At 41.4% G+C, this 20919-nt stretch overlaps 1 protein-coding gene and 1 non-coding gene across 15 annotated transcripts in view; both read left to right on the top strand.

Annotated features, from left to right (window-relative positions):
* Positions 1-20919, top strand: part of ASH1L (ASH1 like histone lysine methyltransferase) — a 227935-nt gene that overhangs the window by 147178 nt on the left and 59838 nt on the right. For 11 of the 14 annotated variants that reach the window (XM_017001785.2, XM_006711450.4, XM_006711451.4 and 8 more), the window contains 2 exons: positions 102-281; positions 20472-20566. In XM_017001785.2, coding sequence (XP_016857274.1) covers positions 102-281; positions 20472-20566 — 275 coding nt within the window. Of the gene's footprint in view, positions 1-101; positions 282-7622; positions 11772-20471; positions 20567-20919 lie in introns of those variants that run through there. The other 3 variants (XM_047425248.1, XM_047425247.1, XM_017001787.3) reach the window with 2 other exon arrangements.
* Positions 363-467, top strand: LOC124904842 (small nucleolar RNA U13). The gene has a single exon (XR_007067437.1). It is a non-coding gene; the product is annotated as a small nucleolar RNA U13 (small nucleolar RNA).

Here is a 20919-nt window from a genome sequence, read left to right as displayed (position 1 = left end):
CTCTTTTTTTAATTGCTATGGTTTTTTTTTTTTAAGTAGACAATTATTTGTAGGAAAACTTTTTTTTCATAATAAAATTATCTTTAAACTTCTCTTTCTAGCTTTAATGAAGCACCAGTTGAGATTCCCAGTCCTTCTGAAACCCCAGCTAAACCTTCTGAACCTGAAAGTACCTTGCAGCCTGTGCTTTCTCTCATCCCAAGGGAAAAGAAGCCCCCACGTCCCCCAAAGAAGAAGTATCAGAAAGCAGGGCTGTATTCTGACGTTTACAAAACTACAGAGTAAGTAGTAGTACCTATTAGCTAACATCCCTTTTTCTTCCACATTTGGAAAAATACTTTGACTATCAAAAAACAATATAGATTCTTTTGTGTTTCATAAGCGTGATGATTGTGTTTTTGCACTCATGTATGAGGTACGCCTCCCTCAAACTTTGTGTCAAGGTCAATACATTACCCTTTCTGATGTGGGGGGAAATCAGTACAAAAGTAATATGCACAAATACCAGTGTTCACTGTACTACTGTACTGTCTTATGTTGTATGAGACTAATTGTCTTTCTGATGGTTATCTTCTCTCTGCCTTTCTAGATTGAGATTCTAATGATGCTTTTCTTTTCTTTTTTTGTTTTTTTTTTTTTTTTTGAGACGGAGTCTCGCCCTGTCACCCAGGCTGGAGTGCAGTGGTGCGATCTTGGCTCACTGCAAACTCTGCCTCCGGGGTTCACGCCATTCTCCTACCTCAGCCTCCCGAGTAGCTGGGAGTACAGGGCCCGCCACCACGCCCAGCTAATTTTGTGTATTTTTAGTAGAGACGGGGTTTCACCATGTTAGCCAGGATGGTCTAGATCTCCTGACCTCGTGATCCACCTGCCTCGGCCTCCCAAAGTGCTGGGATTACAGGCGTGAACCACCGTGCCTGGCCCTAATGATGCTTTTCTTATTAACTTAAGCAATAAATGGCTCTGTGTAACTAAAATGATATTGGTGACTTCATTTTTTATATTGGTGACTTCATTTTTCACTGATTGGACGCTGTGTTCCATGAGCTTTGTCAGATGAATAAAATATTTGCCTTGCTTTTAAGAACTTTGTATTATCTTGGCAGAGTACAATTTAATAAGCACTCTAATTGAGAATTTTTAAAGCATCAAAGGGATAGCAAATTATCATCAATTAAGAAATATTTTCTGGTTGAGTTAGGATTTAGAGGTGTGGTAGTAGTTTACCAGATGGAGAAGGATATTCCAGTCAGAACAGCATGTAAAAAGGATACAAAGATTTTTCATATATCAAAACAACTTGAAAGTTTAGGGCTTCTGAAATGTAGTGGCCCTGTGGTAAATAAGCATTATATGATGAGGAACATATAACCATGGACTTTGAGATATTTAGTTAACTTTAAGATATTTGGTTTTGGATGGGAGTGGTGGCTCACACCTATAATCCCAACACTTTGGGAGGCCAGGGCGGGTGGATCACCTGAGGTTGGGAGTTTGAGACCAGCCTGACCAACATGGAGAAACCCCGTTTCTACTAAAAATACAAAATTAGCCGAGTGTGGTGGCACATGCCTGTAATCCCAGCTACTTGGGAGGCTGAGGCAGGAGAATCGCTTGAACCTGGGAGGCGGAGGTTGCAGTGAGCCGAGATCGAGCCATTGACTCCAGCCTGGGCAGCAAGAGCGAAACTCCATCTCAAAAAAAAAAGAAATTTTTTTAATGCTATTTTGCTATAGGAAATAAAAAATGAGTTTGGGGGATGGATGTGAAAGGTATAGGTTTGTTTAAGATAACTCCAGCAGCAGGGTGGAAAATAAATGGAATGAATTACTAGTGGCAAAAACTCTCACCTCACAGTTTCTGTCAAAAAGTCATGAATATCTGAATTTAGACAAAGAGAAGAATAAGATTGAAAGAGGAAACCTTAGATTTTAGAGGTACATCTCGTTTGGTGGTGTTAAAGTAATTGACATGTAAACCATACCACTTTATTTTGCATTTAAAAGATTTTTATTGATTTGTCACTGAGGTAGATATCACAAAATTTTTATACTCTGAACGTGCTTCTTAGGTCATGAAAACATTTTACTAATGAAGCTTAAGTTTAGCTAATTATAATAATAAATCATCTCAAATAACCAAGACTTTAAAAAGATAGGCACTTAACTATTTTTTTTAATTTAAGAGAAGTTGTGAAGTATGTAGTTCAAAGTTCATAATGGTACCTTCACAATGTCTTCAGGGACCTAGGCTCCTTTTTCTCCCTTCTATCTCAGCACTAATTATGCATTCCTAAGATTCCCTCATGTTCCAAGATAGTTACTAGAGTCCAGCCATTTGATGTTTGTTACAGACAGAAAAGAGGAGGAAAAGCATGCTCCTTCTTTGTTTTTTGTTTTCTGGTTTGTTTGTTTGTTGCGATGGAGTTTCACTCTTGTTGCCCAGGCTGGAGTGCAATGGCACGATCTCGGCTCACTGCAACCTCTGCCTTCTGGGTTCAAGCGATTCTCCTGCCTCAGCCTCCCAAGTAGCTGGGATTACAGGCACCCACCACCGTGCCCAGCTAATTGTTTGTAATTTTAGTAGAGATGGGCTTTCACCATGTTGGCCAGACTGGTCTTGAATTCCTGACCTCAGGTGATCCGCCCTCCTCTGCCTCCCAGAGTGCTAGGATTACAGGCGTGAGCCACCATGCCTGGCCCATGCTCCTTCTTTGTAAGAAAATTTCAAACCCGCATTTATATAAATTGGCTAGAATTTAAATTGCATAGCCACACTTTAGCCATAAGACAGGTTGCGGAAATAATGGTCATTACTCTAGGTGTTAATAGCTGTTAAGGAAAAAAAAAATCAACATTCTGTCAGTAGAAATGAGAAAGTAGAAATACACTTTGGGACACATCTAATTCAGTCATAATTTTGGAACAGAGTCTGCTAAATAGAGCAGAAATATAATTATCAACTTTTCTGCTAAATAAAATTCAAGTTTTATTTCTTGCTTAGGGAGAACCTCTCAGACTGTGTTTTTCCTCTGCTGTCACATCACAATAATCATCAACAAAGAAGTCTGTAAGAGCAAACTGCTGGTTTAAAAAAAACCATTTTTTTCAATAAAATTAAAAAAAAAAAAAACACACAGAAGACTTCTGTAACCAAAGGTATGAGGGTTTTCCCATACACCAAGCAATAGGCAGCAGCTGGGTGTCCTCAATTCAATTCTGTCACTGTTTTCCTGGATATAGGGTCAGATCCTATAGGTTGGGTGCTCAGTTCCCAAGACCGCCACCCTCCCTTTAGACCAGTCACAACTCTGGCTCTCTAGAACTTCTGACCAACCAGCTTCAAGTTGGGGTTTCCACAATCCCCCCTTTGGGTTTGATTAATTTGCTAGAATGGCTCACAAAACTCAAGGAAACATGTACTTCCATTTACTGGTTTGTTATAAAGGATATTACAGACGCTATAGATGAAGACATATACTGGGGAAGGAGCATAGAGCTTTCATTCCCTCCTTGGGCGCACTACCCTCCAGGAACCTCCACATGTTCAGCTATCCAGAAACTCTCTGAACCTTTCTTTTTGAGTTTTGTTTTTTGTGGTTTTGTTTGTTTTTTTGAGATGGGGTTTCGCTCTTGTCAACCAGGCTGGAGTGCAATGGTATGATCTTGGCTCACTGCAGGCTCTGCCTCCTAGGTTCAAGTGATTCTCCTGCCTCAGCCTCCAGAGTAGCTGGGATTACAGGCACCTGTCACCACACCCAGCTAAATTTTTTTTTTTTTTTTTGAGACGGAGTCGTGCTCTGTTGCCCAAGCTGGGGTGCAGTGGCAAGATCTTGGCTCACTGCAACCTCCACCTCCTGGGTTCAAGCAGTTCTCCTACCTCAGCCTCCTGAGTAGCTGGGACTACAGGCACACACCGCCATGCCCAGCCAATTTTTTGTATTTTAGTAGAGACGGGGTTTCACCATGTTGCCCAGTCTGGTTGCGAAATCCTGAGCTCAGGCAGTCCGCCCACCTCAGCCTCCCAAAGTGCTGGGATTACAGGAGTGAGCCACAGCGCCCGGCCTCTTTTTGAGTTTTTATGGAAGCTTCATAGGCGTCAATGACAGCCATGTAGAAATGTGATTGAACAAAATGTAGAGGATGTAAACCCAGCATGTCCTGTCTAGACTTCTTGGCCTCTCTGTGTCACATTCCTTTCTCTAGGGTATGGGGCAGGACCCTCTCTGGAGTGAGGGTTTTCTTGGCCCAGAATCAGATTAGAGTCCTGCCTTAGGTAGGTGAAAGGAAGACAGGAGAAGGTCAAAGAGAGATTCTATCTCCTGAGGCCCACTCCTGAGACTTAAAGTGCCCCAACATTATAACAGGGACTATGGGAGTTAAGAGCCAGGAACCATGGATGAAAACATATATATATATATATATATATATATATATATTTATTTATTTATTTATATTCATATTTATATTTATATATATCATAAGACCACACTTCTGTTTTTTACTTTTGTGCTTTTTCTTGATTAAAGATTTAAAAATGGAAGATTCTGATCTTTTGATGTAATTTGATTTCACATCAAATTATACAACCGTATCAGTGATTTGTAAGTGTCTCTGGTCATACAAAAGATTTGACCTGAAAATGGACTGAAATATCACTTTATGTATGTTAGAACTAGCTCTTCCTCTCCCAAAAATAAGTAGGAAGAAAATGGTTTATTCTTTAAGCATTTTTAAGAACATTGATCAGTTTAGTACATGTATGCATTCTTGAAAGATGTGAAGCCAGGATATTATTGTGGGCTGGCTATTTTGTTGTTAGCAGTTTCATTAATAAACTTATGTTTAGAGCAGTTTCAGTTTCACAGCAAAATTGAGTGGAAAGTACAGAGTTTTCATATACACCCTGTTCTTCATACACACAACCTGCCCACTGTTACACCACACCATTGTGATACATGTGTTATGATCCATGTACCTACATTGATATACCATTATTACCCAAAGTCCGTAGTTACTTTAGGGTTCACTCTTGGTGAAATACATTCTATGGGTTTTGACAAATGTATACTGACATGTATCTACTATTGTAATATCATACAATAGAATAAAAATAAAGGGGCCAGGTGCGATTGCTCACGCCTGTAATCCCAGCACTTTAGGCCGCTGGAGCTGGAGGATTGCTTGAGCCCAGGAGTTCAAGACCAACCTGGGCAACATAGCAAGACCTTGTCTCTACTAAAAATTTAAGAATTCAGGCCAGACGCAGTGGCTCAGGCCTGTAATCCTGTATATCATTCTTGGTGATATACATTCTATGGGTTTCGACAAATGTATACTGACATGTATCTACTGTTGTAATATCATACAACAGAATAAAAATAAAGGCCAGGTGCGATTGCTCACGCCTGTAATCCCAGCACTTTAGGCGGCTGGAGCTGGAGGATTGCTTGAGGCCACTTTGGAAGGCAAGGCAGGCAGACTACTTGAGGTCAGGAGTTCAAGACCAGTCAGGCCAACATGACACAACCCTGTCTCTGCTAAAAATACAAAAATTAGCTGGGCGCAGTGGCAGGCACCTGTAATCCCAGCTCCTTGGGAGGCTGAGGCAGAAGAATCCTTTGACCTCCGGAGGCAGAGGTTGCAGTGAGCCGAGATCGCACCATTGCACTCCAGCCTGGGTGACAGAGCAAAACTCTGTCTCAGAAATAAATAAGTAAATAAAATAAAAATCCAGCAGGTGTGGTGGCGCACAGCTGTAGTCCCAGCTGCTTGTGAGACTGAAGTGAGCAGATCACTTGAGTCCAGGGGTCCGAGGCTGCAGTGAGTTGTGTTCATGACATTACATTCCAGCCTAAGTGACAAAGCGTTTTTTTTGAAACCCTGTCTCAGAAAAAGAAAGAGAAAATAATACGAACTTTTTTTTTTTTGAGATGGAGTTCAAGCAATTCTCCTGCCTCAGCCTCCCGAGTAGCTGAGATTACAGGTGCCCACCACCACGCCTGGCTAATTTTTGTATTTTTAGCAGAGACGGGGTTTCACATATTGGCCAGGCTGGTCTCAAACTCCTGACCTCAAGTGATCTGCCCGCCCCAGCTTCCCAAAGTGCTGGGATTACAGGTCTGAGCCACCACGCCTGGCCAAGATCGACCATTTTTTAAGAACTCAGGCTTTTGTTGTCTTTTAGAATGCCCTTCATTTTGGATTTCTTTGATCCTATCTTCATGATTAAATTTAGGTTTAAAAAAATCTTGGCAGAGGCCTGGGAAAGATGGCTTATGCCTGTAATCTCAACATTTTGGGAGGCTGAGGCTGGAGGATCACTTGAGGCCTGGAGTTCAAGACCAGCCTGGGCAACATAGTGAGATCCAGTCTCTACAAAAATAAAAATAAATAAAACTTAATAAAATTTAAAAATCATGGCAGGAATATTGCATATGTGATACTTTATACTTCTTTTTGCATCCCACTTATTGTCCCAGCATTGATGGTGCCATTTTTGATTACTTAGTGAAGGTGGTATCCACCAAGTCTTTTCATTGCAAAGATACTACATTTTTTCCCATTGTAATTGGTACATAAACCATGGGTTGATATTTAAGGCTATGGCTTGTTCTCTATCAGTCTTTTTTAATCTAACATTTAATCATCCATTAATGTTTTTTCCCTAAGTTTAATAATTACATTGATGGTTGAAAAATGACAATTTTTGCTGGGTGTGGTTGCTCATCCCTGTAATCCGAGAACTGTAGGAGGCAGATCACCTGAGGTCAGGAGTTCAAGAACACCCTGGCCAACATGGTGAAACCCCATCTCTACCAAAAATGCAAAAATTAGCCAGGCCTGGTGACATGCAACCTGTAGTCCCAGCTATTTGGGAGGCTGAGGCAGGAGAATCGCTTGAACCCAGGAAGCAGAGGTTGTAGTGAGCTGAGATTGCGCCACTGAACTCCAGCCTGGGCGACAGAGCAAGACTCCGTCTCAAAAAAAAAGAAAGAAAAGAAAATTTTCTAATTCCATTATTTCTTGATTTTTAGCTGACATTTTCTGGTGAAGATGAGCTTCTCTTTTTTTTTCTCCGTAAACTCTCTGTTTGTTTTGTTTTGTTTTGTTTTTTTGAATACCTTATAGACTCATGAATTTTTTTTGTTTGGGTGGTTTTGTTTGTTTTTCTCCAGAGACAGGGTCTCCCTATGTTGCCCAGGCTTGACTCTAACTCCTGGGCTCAAGAAGTCCTTCTGCCTCAGCCTCCCAAAGTGCTAGGAGGCATAAGCTATCATGCTTGGCATAAAATTGACTATATTATAATCTATTAGCATTTTATAGGAAACTGCTCAAAATTCCCTGATTTTACCACAGGAGCCCCTTTAAACTGGCCCCTGTTTCCTTTATACATGTCTTCAGATTACTTATCTTTGAGCACTTCCCTGCTTTCTGCTGTTCGGAGTAGTGAGGATTTAGTTTTTTGTTTTGGTTTACTTTTCTGCTGTTGTTTATCAGACTTGTTCTTTCTTTGGCCTGTATCTGGAATCAACTATTTCCCTCAAGGAGCTTTGGTTTCTTTTAGTGAGGATTATTATTTAGAAGTCAAAATCTGAATTTTTCATGTGCTTTTTCTACTAGGGTATTTGTTACTGCTATGATGCCATGCTTCTAGCCCCTTTCAGTACCATGGAATGAAAAAAATGTGCGTACACACAAGTGTATAAATTTTATATTGCTGTTGAAGAAATTATCACAAATTTAGCAGCTTAAATATCATCCATTTATTATCTCACAGATTCCAGTTTAGTCTTGGCTTAGTTGGATCCTCTGTTCTGAGTTTCATAAGCCAGAATCAAGGTACCATCCGAGGCTGGGGCTGTATTCCAGACTCACATGGATGTAGGTAAAACTCATTTCTTTGCAGTTGTGTAACTCATGGTTGGTGGCTTGCTTCTTCAAGTCTTCAACAAAGACAGTCTGCTTCTTTAAGACTCTGGACTGAGAGCAATCCTAAGCCTTTATTGAGATATTAAGTGTACAGTAATCAGTTTTAAAACATTGTTATTATTCCAGAAAGAAACCCACATCACTAGGCAATCACTCCCTAATTTCCCCACCATTAGGCAACTGTCCATTTAGATATTTAATGTGTGGAATATATGTAATATAAATACAATTTTTTTTTTTTAACCAGTCCTGGATATTTAGTATCATACAATATGTGTTTTTTTGTGACTGAGTTTTTTCACTTAGCATATTGTTTTCAGGTTTCATGCATGTTGTAGTATATATAATTCCTGTCTTTTTTGCCAAATAATATTCCATTGTGCATATGTATACCACATTTTATTTATCCATTCATCAGTTAATGAACATTTGGGTTGTTTCTGCTTTTGGCTATCACAAGTAATGCTGCTATGAACATTTGTGTACATCCACGTTTTTATTTTTTATAGCTGTATGATATTAGATTATATAGATACTTCATAGTCTATCTAACCAGTCTAGTAAGGAAGGGTTGTTCTAATATTTGCTCCTATAGATAATGCCCAGTGAATAAATTTATCCACACATTGTTTGATATTTTGGAGGTATATCTTAAGGGTAAGTTCCTAGAAATTGAATTACTGGGTTAAATAGTAATTGTATATATAATATTGTAAATATTGCTAAATTCTGCTTCCATGGGAATTGTATCCTTTTGTAGTCCTAGAAATTTATGAGTCTGTCTTACTTTTCCACAGCCCGTCCTATGTTGTCAAACGATTATATGTTTATTAATCTAATAGGTGAGGAATTTCAATTTACTTTTTTTTTTGAGACGGAGTCTCGCTCTGTCTCCCAGGCTGGAGTGCAGTGGCGCAATCTTGGCTCACTGCAACCTCTGCCTCCCGGGTTCAAGCAATTCTCCTGCCCGAACCTCCCGAGTAGCTGGGACCACAGGTGTGCACCACCACGCCTGGCTAATTTTTGTATTCTTAGTAGAGATGGGGTTTCACCATGTTGGCCAGGCTGGTTCAATTCCCCTTTTTTTTGTAAGTAATACTGTCAAGCATCTTTTTATATCTTTGAAGGCCATTTAATTATCTTTTTCTTTTAACTGTCTTTTCATGTGTGTTTCCCCATTTTCTATCAGGGGAAATTCTATCCTCGATTTTTAAGAGTTCTTTATCTATTAGATTTGCCTTTGTCCGTGATATAAATTGTAGATATATTTTGTCAATTTGTTATTTGACTTTTGTGCTTATTGACCGTGACTATTGTTATGCCAGTAATAATATATTGTTACTGTTCAAACACTGTGTTGATTACTATAGCTTTTTTATTTATTTATTTTTTAGAAACAGGGTCTCACTCTAAGGCCCAGCCTGGAGTATAGTGGCACAAACAGCTCACTTCAGCCTCTTTCTCCCAGGCTCAAACCATCCTCCTTCCTCAGCCTCCCGAGTAGCTGGACTATAGGCATTCACCACCACACCCAGCTATTTTTTAAATTTTTTGTAAAGACAAGGCCTCATTATGTTGCCCAGGCTGTCTCGAACTCTTGGCCTCAAGCAATCCTCCCCTCTTGGCTTCCCAAAGTGCTAGGATTATAGGCGTGAGCCACTGCTCCTGGCCAAATACCGGAGTTTTGTAAGAAAGCCTGAAATCAGAAAGTGTGATTCCTTCAACTTTGTTCTTTTTCAAGATTGTTTTGGCTATTCCTGGATTCCTTGCCATTTCTCTGTGATTTTTTAGGATCAGCTTATCTATTTCTGCAAAAAATGCAACTGGAATCTTCACAGACTCTAGATCAATTTGGGAAGTTTTGTCATCTTTTTTTTTTTTTTTTTTTTTGAGACAGAGTCTCACTCTGTCGCCCAGGCTGGAGTGCAGTGGCACCATCTTAGCTCACTGCAACCTTCGCCCCCTGGGTTTAAGCAATTCTCTTCTGTCAGCCTCCCTAGTAGTTTGGATTACAGGCATGTGCTACCATGCCCATCTACTTTTTGTATTTTTAGTAGATCCAGGGTTTTGCCATGTTGGCCAGGCTGGTCTCGAACTCCGGACCTCAAGTGATCCATCCGCCTCGGCCTCCCAAACCGCTGGGATTACAGACGTGAGCTACAGCACCTGGCCAAGTTTTGCTGTCTTAACAGTATTTGGTCATCACCATATCTGTGAATATGGGATGTCTTTCCATTTATTTTGACTTTTTTTTTTTTTTTTTTGACACAGAGAATCGCTCTCTCACCCAGACTGGAGTGCAGTGGCCTGATCTTGGCTCACTGCAACCTCCACCTCCCAGGTTCAGGTGATTCTCCTGCCTCAGCCTCCCAAACAGATGGGGCTACAGGCCCACACCACCATGCCCGGCTAATTTTTTGTAGTTTTGTAGAGACAGGGTTTCATCATGTTGGTCAAGCTGATCTTGAACTCCTGACCTCAGGTGATTCACTCACCTAGGCCTCCCAAATTGCTAAGATTACAGGGATGAGTGACCATGCCCGACCTATTTTGATCTTTAACCAAAACTTTTAACAGTGTTTGTTGTTGTTGTTTTGTTTGTTTGTTTTAATGAGACTGAGTCTCACTCTGTCGCCTAGGCTTGAGGGCAGCGGCTTCATCTCGGCTCACTGCAACTTCCCCCTCTTGGGTTCAAGTGATTCTCGTGCCTCAGCCTCCTGATTAGCTAGGAATATGGGTGCATGCCAACACACCTGGCTAATTTTTATATTTTTGTAGAGACAGGGTTTCACCATGTTGGCCAGGCTGGTCTCGAACTCCTGACCTCAAGTGATCTGCCCCCCCCTCAGCCCCCTAAAGTGCTGGGATTACAGGCACGAGTCACTGCCCCTGGCCTCAAAACTTTTAACAGTGTTTTATAGTTTTTAGTGTACAGGTGCTATTCTTCTTTTGTTAATCTTGTTCCCAAGAATTTTTTTTTAATTTACTGCTATTGTAATTGTTGTAATTGGAATTGGATTTTTTATTTTTATTTTTTTATTTTTATTCTATTATTATTATTTTTTTTTAGATGGAGTCTCACTCTGTCACCAGGCTGGCGTGCAGTGGTGCGGTCTCAGCTTACTGCAACCTCTGTTTCCCAGGTTCAAGCGATTCTCCTGCCTCAGCCTCCCGAGTAGCTGGGACCACAGGCACGCACCACCACACTCAGCTGATTTTTGTGTTTTTAGTAGAGAAAGAGTTTCACCGTGTTGGCCAGGACGGTCTCGATCTCTTGACCTCGTGATCCGCCTGCCTCAGCCTCCCAAAGTGCTGGGATGACAGGCATGCCACCACGCCCAGCCCTCCAATTGGATATTTTAAATTAAATTTTTGGATTGTTTATTGCTATGTATAGAAATACAATTGATTTTTTTTTCCCACCAGTTTACCCTGACAGATGTGTTTCATGTATTGAGTTTGTCTCCTGTAACCTAGGTGTTAGTCCTAAGAGTCTTTTAGTGGATTCCGTCATGTGTGTCTTGACTTTGCTTAAGATCATTCACATCGTCACCACATCTAGCTAATTTTTTTATTTTTTGTAGAGACAATGAGGTCTTGCCATGTTGCCTGAGCTGGTCTTGAGCTCCTGGCCTCAAGTGATCCTCCTGCCTTGTCCTTCCAAAGTGTTGGGATTACAGGGGTTAGCCACTATATCTGGCCTTTATTTTTAAATTGCTTCTGGATTTTTTTCTTTTTTAAAGACAGAGTCTACCTCTCATCCAGACTAGAGTACAGTGGCATAATACCAGCTCACTACAGTCTCCACCTCCTAGACTCAAGCGTTCATCTTACCTCAGCCTCCTCCAGTAGCTGGGACTACAGGTACATGCCACCACACTGGACTAATTTTTTTATTTTTTCAGAGACAGGGTCTCTCTATGTTGCCCAGGCTGGTCTTGAACTCTTGAGTCAAGTCCCTCTTTGGCCTCCCAAAGTGCTAGGATTGTAGGTGTGAGCCACCGTGCCCAGGTTGCTTCCTTTTTTTTTTTTTTTTTGAGACGGAGTTTCGTTCTTGTTGCCCAGGCTGGAGTGCAATGGTGCGTTCTTGGCTCACTGCAACCTCTGCCTTCCAGGTTCAAGCGATTCTCCTGCCTCAGCCTCCCGAGTAGCTGGGATTACAGGCATGGCATCACCATACCTGGCTATTTTTTTTTTTTTTTAATGGTAGGAACGGCCTTTATTGGCTGCAGCAGGAAGTGAAAGAGGGGATACAGCTTCTGCAGAATAGATCGCCGCCCTCCAAAAAAAGCTTCTGTATTTCAAGTCATTAGAAAAGCTCTCCCACACACAAATTTTAAGCAAGTAAGAAATTTACTTTTGTTTTCTTCTGGTAATTGCTTGGATTCAATTTTTGCATCTAGTTCCCTAATATATTTGGAATTTTTTCAGGTATATTAGTCTGGGCTAATACTGAAGAAGTAAAAAGAAAGTTAATACTTCTTGCATACCTATTATGTGCCAGTTACTGTGCTAATGAGTTTATATATGTTATCTTATAAATTTATTCAAGAACCTTGTGAGAGAACAGGTATTATTAATATTATTGAAGAAGCTAAGGCTTAGAGAATTAGAGAAACTTAAGTAATTTGTCTAGAGTTTTACAGTTAGTCAATAGCATAGTTAACATTTGAGTTCTGGCAATAATTGGCTGCAGAGTTGTTTGTACTTTTCCCTACTTTACTTAGCTTCTACAGTACTGACATATCTTTTGTGGGTTTTTTTGGTTTTTTTTGAAACAGGAGTTTCACTCCATTGCCTAGGCTGGTCTGAAACTCCTGGGATCCTTCCACAATGATCCTTCAGCTGCAACCTCCAAAAGGCTGGGATTAGAGGCATTTGCACCACCACCAGCTCTTTTTTTTTTTTGAGATGGAGTTTCGCTCTTGTCACCCAGACTGGAGTGCAATGGCACGATCTTGGCTCACTGTAACCTCTGCCTCCCAGGTTCAAGCGATTCTCCTGTCTCAGCCTCCCAAGTAGCTGGGATTACAGGCGTGCGCTACCACACCTGGCTAATTTGTGTATTTTTTTTTTTTTAGTAGAGACGGGTTTCACCATGTTGGCCAGGCTGGTCTTGAACTCCTGACCTTAGGTGATCCACCCACCTCAGCTTCCCAAAGTGCTGGGATTACAGGCAACCATACCCGGCCTTCAATGTCTTTTTATGCTGAAAAAAAAAAAAAAAAAAAGTATAACTTGGCTGGGTGTGGTGGCTCATACTTGTAATCCCAGTACTTCGGGAGGCCAAGGTAGGAGGATTGCTTGAGGCCAGGAGTTTGAGACCAGCCTAGACATCATGGTGAGGACCCCATCTCTACAAAAAGTTTTTAAATAATTATCCAGGCATAGTGGCACACAGACCTGTAGTCCTAGTTACTCAGTAGACTGGGATGGTGGGATTGCTTGAGCCTTAGGAGTTCAAGGCTGCATTGAATTATGATTGCACCACTGTACAACCTGGGTGGCAGAACAAGGCCCTGTCTTTAAAAACAAAACAAAGCAGTAAAACATGGATAACTTGTCTGGACCATTTGATTAATTCCTTTTTTTTATTTAAAAGATTAGCTCTAGAATAACATGTCCATTTTTTACATTCTGTACTTTTTAGCATAAAGTTTATATAGTAATCTGAAATATAATTTTACCTTTTTATCTAAAAGTGCCGTATTCCTTGAGGATTTTAAGTTGTGCAGTAAAATGGTCTGGATTGGAGCAAGGTTAGGGAAAGGTGACATTATGAAAAAATGATGCCTCCCCCTTCTTCAAATTCATATCCCCAGGGCAAAAGTTGCCATATTGTTTATGAAAGAACATTAAGGGAGTCTGTTTTCCTGTTGTCTGTAGATGATGTTCAGAAGTATTTTAACCCTGATATGATGTTTGTTTGTTTGTTTGTTTGTTTGTTTGAGACGGAGTCTGGCAGTGGCACAATCACCATGCCCAGCTAGTATGATTTTTTTTTTTTAGACAGTCTTGCTCTGTCACCCAGGCTGGTGTGCAGTGGTGCAACCTTGGCTCACTGCAACCTCCACCTCCTGGGTTCAAGCAGTTTTCCTGCTTCAGCCTCTCAAGTAGCTGAGATAACAGGCGCCTGCCACCACGCCCAGCTAATTTTTTGTATCTTTAGTAGAGGCGGGGTTTCACCATGTTGGCCAGGCTGGTCTCAAACTCCTGACCTCAGGTGATCCACCTGCCTTGGCCTCCCAAAGTGCTGGGATTACAGGCATGAGCCACTGTTCCCGGAAGCCAGTATGCTCTTTTTTTTTCTTAGAGTCTCACTCTGTCACCCAGGCTGGTGTGCAATAGCACGATCTTGGCTTTCTGTAACCTCCACCTCCGGGGTTCAGGCAATTCTCCTACCTCAGCCTCCCAAGTAGGTGAGATTACAGGTGCCCACCACCACTCCCGGCTAATTTTTTGTATTTTTAGTAGAGACAAGATATCACCATGTTCGCCAGGTTGGTCTCCACCTCTTGACCTGACCTCTGGTGATCCACCCACCTTGGCCTTCCAGTGTGCTGGGATTACAGGCGTGAGCCACCGTGCCCTACCAATCTTTTTTTTTTTTTTTTTTGAGATGGAGTCTTGCTGTGTCACCCAGGCTGGAGTCCAGTGGCATGACTTTGGCTCGCTGCAATCTCCGCCTCCCAGGTTCAGGCAATTCTCCTGCCTCAGCCTCTTGAGTAGCTGGGATTACAGGTGCCCACGACCATGCCTGGCTAATTTTTTGTATTTTTAGTAGAGAAGGGATTTCACCATGTTGGCCAGGCTGGTTTTGAACTCCTGACCTCAAGTGATCCGCCTGCCTTGGCCTCCCAAAGTGCTAGGATTACAGGTGTGAGCCACCATGCCCGGCCACCGGCGATCTTTTTTAACACTTTTTTTTTTTGAGACAGAGAGTCTCACTCTGTCACCCTGGCTGGCGTGCAGTGGCACGATCTCAGCTCACTGCAACCTCCACCTCCCTGGTTCAAATGATTCTCGTGCCTCAGCCTCATGAGCAGCTAGGATTAGAGGCGTACACCACTACGCCCTACTAATTTTTGTATTTTTAGTAAAGATGGGGTTTCACCTTCTTGGCCAAGGCTGGTCTCAAACTCCTTGCCTCAAGTGATCTGCCTGACTCAGCCTCCCAAAGTGCTGGGATTACAGGCGTGAGCCACCACATCACTGGCATGATCTTAATTTATCTTTTGTCTGGGTCTGGACCGTCTCTCCCTGTAAATAGGTGATTATGCTGAAGTATGTAAATTTATGTTTATCTAAATTTAGTAAAATTAGCAAAATAAATCTGTTCCAGAAAGTAGACTGTACTTTGGTGGATAGATTGTTTTGAGAGAAATGTTAACATCTTTAGGAAGGTAATTTATGAAAACAGTATTTTCAGAAAAGTTTAACTGCCAGTGGAATATAGAATAGAATTGTCATTTGTGGTTATAGAATTTATCAGATCCTAGCTTCGTCAGTTACTAGTTATATGAATTTGGGCAAGTTATTGATTTGGGCAACCCTTGATCCTCAGTGTCCTCAGCTTTAAAATGGCAATGATAAATAGTACCTGTTACTCAGTTATCAATGTCAGAATGCTTTCCATACATGAAGTAGGCATTCAAAATATTATTTAATGTCTTACTCCACAATCACTATATTGTGACCTTGGACAAATTACTCCTCTAAGACTCTTCCTCTTTAGAAGTAATATGTCCTCTTTTTTTTTTTTTTGAGACAGTCTCGCTCTATCACCCAGGCTGGATTGCAGTGATGCGATCTCGGCTCACTACAACCTCTGCCTCCTAGATTCAAGCGATTCTCCTTCTCAGCCTCCCAGGTAGCTGGGACTACATGCCTGGCTAATTTTTTATAATTTTAGTAGAGACGGGGTTTCACCGTGTTAGCCAGGATGGTCTCAATCTCCTGACCTCGTGATTTGCCCGCCTCAGCCTCCCAAACTGTTGGGATTACAGGCGTGAGCCACCACGCCCAGCATATGTCCTCATTGGGGTCGTTATTCCCTACCCAGATTCCTTTGAAATCTTGTTACTTCCTGCAGAACTGTTGCATAATATTTAAGTCCCACCCTTATCTTGTGTAACCTATTTTTCTAGTTATTTGTCCAGTCATAGTCCTCAAATACTTGTTCCTTTAGCCACATCTGATCATTTTCCTTACTTCCTCCATCCTACACTTTTCTCCTGGGGTTTATCCTAGATGTCTGCTCTGTGTAGTATGAACTACCTTCCCTACTTCACCTTTCCTTGTCAAAATCCCATTTATCTTTTCAAATAAGTTTTCTTAATTCTTTCCTAATTACAATTACTTTTCTTTCTCCTTTTGTAGAACTTAGTATCTCCTCCTAGTAAGTAGTGTTATGAGTTTTATCACATTCTGTTTTTTTTGGGGGGTGGGGGTTGGGGTGGGACAGCCTCACTTTATCACCCAGACTGGAGTGCGGTGGTGCCATCTCAGCTCACTGCAACCTCTGTCTCCTGTGTTCAAGCAGTTCTCATGCCTCAGCCTCCCAAGTAGCTGAAATTACAGGTGCCACCACGCCTAGCTAATTTTTGTATTTTTAGTAGAGATAAGGTTTAGCCATGTTAGCCAGTCTGGTCTTGAACTCCCGACCTCAGGTAATCTGCCCGCCCCTACTTCCCAAAGTGCTTGGATTACATGCTTGGATTACATATGTGAGCCACTGCTCCCGGCCTCAAAGTTTTATCACATTCTGATAGATAATCTAGATATCTACATACATACTTGTTGTCCCACCAAATTGTAAACTTCTTATGGCCAGGGCCACCCTTTGTTCAACTTGGATGCCTTGTAGAACCCAGCAGCATTTTCTACATATAATTACTAAAATATCTATGACTTAAAATCTCCTTAAAGAGATTTAAATGCATCTGCCCTCTCATGTGGTAACAAATATGAGGAAATTATTTTGGTTCATCAATTTCATATCTACCCAAGATAGACATTTCAAAATGGATTAAGTGCCAAATTTTATCCTGAAAAGTTTGTAGGCTGGGCACAATGGCTCACACCGGTAATCCTAGCACTTTGGGAGGCCAGGGCAGGCAAGTCGCTTGAGCCCAGGAGTTGAAGACCAGCCTGGGCAACATGGTGAAACACCGTGTCTACAAAAATAAATAAATAAATAAAATGTCCCATCCCTTCGTGGTAGCATGCACCTGTAGTTCCAGCTACTCGGAGGGCAAGGAGGCTGAGGCGAGAGGTTCACTTGAGTCTGGGAGGTTGAGGCTGCAGCTGCAGTGAGCTGAGATCTCGCCACTGCACTCTACCCTGGGAGACAGAATGAGACCCTGTCTCAAAAAAGCAAAAAAATAAAAATTCCTATCACCTAGTGATGTCATAGCTTTCCTAGCATTTTGGCTTTTTTGTACATTTTTTTGTACAATGTACAGTAATTTCCTAGGCTTTCACATTCATTCACCACACACTCACTGACTCACCCAGAGCAACTTCCAGTCCTGCAAGGTCCATTCATGGTAAGTACTCTATACTATAAAGTGTACCACTTTTTATCTTTTACAACCGTATTTTTACTCTATCTTTCTTATGTTTAGAAATGTTTAGATACACAAATACTTACCATTGTGTTACAACTGCCTGCAATATTCAGTACAGTTACATGCTAAACAGGTTTGTAGCCTAGGACCTATAAGCTATACCATCTAGGTTTGTGTAAGTATATTCTATGATGTTCACACAGCATTTGTCAGAATGTATCACTATCAAATGACAAATGACTTTATATTTCTATCCAAAACAGTTTCTGTGAGCAACATTTATTACATCTATTAAGTTATGTTTGTGTTCTCCTTTGCTGTTTATAAAGTGCTTTTACATATATCTGCGTTTGAGTGAGCTGTGCTGTGTTTAAGTACATCTATGTTATAGTCCTAGATGTATATTAATAGACTCAGATCATAACAGTCTTTATAAATATATTGTTTTTACTGGAACATTGTTTTAAATCCAAGACAGTTTTTCTTTCCCTGTCAGTATGATTTTGATCCTATTTTTCCTCTGGTTATTTGGTACTAAATAATTTTATACTTGTTTAAATATTAATCATAATAAATTATGAGAGTAAATAAATTAAAAATCATTTAATATTTTCCTAAAGCACATGATGTTTATTACCTGTTTTATGAATTATTAAGATAACCTGGCCAGGTGCCGTGGCTCACGCCTGTAATCCCAAGACTTTGGGAGCTGAGGCAAGTGGATCACCTGAGGTCAGGAGTTCAAGACCAGCCTGGCCAATGTGATAAAACCCTGTCTCTACTAAAAATACAAAAAATAGCCAGGCATAGTGTAATCCCAGTAGTTGGCATCTGTAATCCCAGCTACTCGGGAGGCTGAGGCACAAGAATTACTTGAACCTGGGAGGCAGAGTTGCAGTGAACCAAGATCATGCCACTGCACTCCAGCCTGGGCAACAGAGTGAGACTCTGTCTCAAGAAAAAAATAAATAAATGAAGGTTGTCTTCATAATGATGGCAATCTTTCTTTCTTTTTTTTTTTTTTTCTGAGACAGAGTTTCGCTCTTGTTGTCTAGGCTGTAGTACAATGGCACAATCTCGGCTCACTGCAACCTCCGTCTCCCGGAGTCAAGCGATTCTCCAGCTGCAGCCTCTTGAGTAGCTGGGATTACCAGCGCGCTCCACCACACCCAGATAATTTTTGTATTTTTAGTAGAGACAGGGTTTTATCACATTGGCCAGGCTGGTCTTGAACTCCTGACCTCAGGTGATCCACCCGCCTTGGCCTCCCACAGTGCTAGGATTGCAGGCATGAGCCACCCTGTCCGGTCAGCAATCTTTCTTACACTGATTCAGGATATAATCCATGATCATGCATTGCCTTTTGTTACCATGCTTTTTTTTTTTTTTTTTCTTTTTTTGACAGAGTCTGGCTCTGTCACTCAGGCTGGAGTGCAGTGTGCTATCTGGGCTTACTGCAGCCTCTGCCCCACCCCGGGCTCAAGTGATCCTTTCACTTTAGCCTCTCGAGTAGCTGGGGCCAAAGGCATGCACTACCACACCCAGCTTTTTTTTTTTTTTTTTGAGATGGTGTCTAGCTGTGTCTCCCAGGCTGGAGTACAGTGGCACGATCTCGGCTCACTGCAACCTCTGCCTCCTGGGTTCAAGCAATTCTCCTGCCTCAGCCTCCCAAGTAGCTGGGATTACAGGCACCTACCACTATGCTCAGCTAATTTTTGTATTTTTAGTAGAGATGGGGTTTCACTGTGTTGGCCAGGCCTGTCTCGAACTCCTGACTTCATAACCCACCCGCCTCGGCCTTCCAAAGTGCTGGGATTACAAGCGTGAGCCACTGCGCCCGGCCAAAAGTCAGTATGTTATAATTTCGTTAAAGGAAATAAATATATCAGCTTTGTCTTATTCACTGGAACTTTAGGCCAGGCACAGTTGCTCACGCCTGTAATCCCAGCACTTTGGCTGAGGCGGATGCATCACCTGAGGTCAGGAGTTCAAGACCAGCCTGACCAACATGGTGAAACCCCATCTCTACTAAAAATACAAAAATTAGCCAGGCGTGGTGCCGCATGCCTGTAATCCCAGCTACTTGGGAAGCTAAGGCAGGAGAACCGCTTAAACCTGGGAGGTGGAGGTTGCAGTGAGCCAAGATCACACCATTGCACTCCGGCCTGGGTGACAAGAGCGAAACTCCATCTGAAAAAAACAAAAAAAAGAATTAATTGGAACTTTAAGCTAAAATATAGTCATAATATCTTAAATGAGACTCTTCTAAGGCCCTTTTTTCTCATTTTCCTTTTTTGTTTTCCTTCTTTTTTTCCCCCTTTTATATATTTATGAAATCTCTTGAGATCGCATTTTAAACTTTAGGAAACAAACCAATAATGTGAGTAGAAGACACAAGCCCAGAGAGACATGGTGGAATAAAAGCAAGAGAATAATATAGAATAATATAGTGAGTAGATGTTGAGCAAGAAACTGAGGTTTTGAAGCTTAAATCTCCTTCCCAACTACTAAAATCAAGGCAAGTCACTCAGTCTTATAGAGCATCTTTCCTCTTACCTACTTCACAGTATTGATATAAAGTAACCAAATATAAGGCAGTCATTATAATCCGATCTAAAATTTGTGTTCCTTCTCCAAAACTGTTGGAGAAAATAAAAGAGCATCTTTCTTTTCTTTCTTTTTTTTTAAAAGTAGAGACAGGGTCTCACTTGTTACCCAGGCCAGTCTCAAATTCCTGGGCTCAGGCAGTCCTTCCACCTCAGCTTCCAAAAGTATTGGGATTACAGGCGTGAACCCCCACGCCCAGCCAGGAGCCTCTTTCTTAAGGACAGTTTCAGAAGTAAAGATTTTTTTTTTTAATTTATCAATGTACTTGGTACCCTCTCCTCATAGGATGATCTGTTATCTGTATTTGACCACAGGAGGAAATTTCTTTGCCTCTTGACTGTTTCCCATTCTTTTTTTATCACAGCCCAAAGAGTCGATTGATCCAATTAAAGAAAGAGAAGCTGGAGTATACTCCAGGAGAGCATGAATATGGATTATTTCCAGCGCCCATTCATGTTGGTAAGTACCGAGTCCACACAATGTATTGCTGAGAAGAAACAGTATTTCCTGGGTTTGAGGGAAATGTCTTTTTAATCTTGTTATTATTTCTATTTCTCCAGTGGGATCAAGCTCTTTCTTTACCATTTTACTTAAACTTACTCTGAAGAATTTTATACACTGTTTGATAGTCAGGGGGTCACAGTGGCATAAATCTTGTTCATTGGAGCCTTAATAAATAACACTGGGCCAGGCATGGTGGCTCATGCCTATAATCCTAGCACTTTGGGAGGCTGAAGCAGGTGGATTGCTTGAGCCCAGGAGTTGATGGCCTGGGCAACTTGGTGACACCCTGTCTCTACAAAAAATATGAA

The sequence above is a fragment of the Homo sapiens genome, chromosome 1, assembly GCF_000001405.40.
Source record: "Homo sapiens chromosome 1, GRCh38.p14 Primary Assembly".
In the NCBI taxonomy this organism is placed as follows: domain Eukaryota; kingdom Metazoa; phylum Chordata; class Mammalia; order Primates; family Hominidae; genus Homo; species Homo sapiens.
The sequence above is the reverse complement of the archived record's forward strand: the minus strand, read 5'-3'. Positions and strand labels throughout refer to the sequence as shown.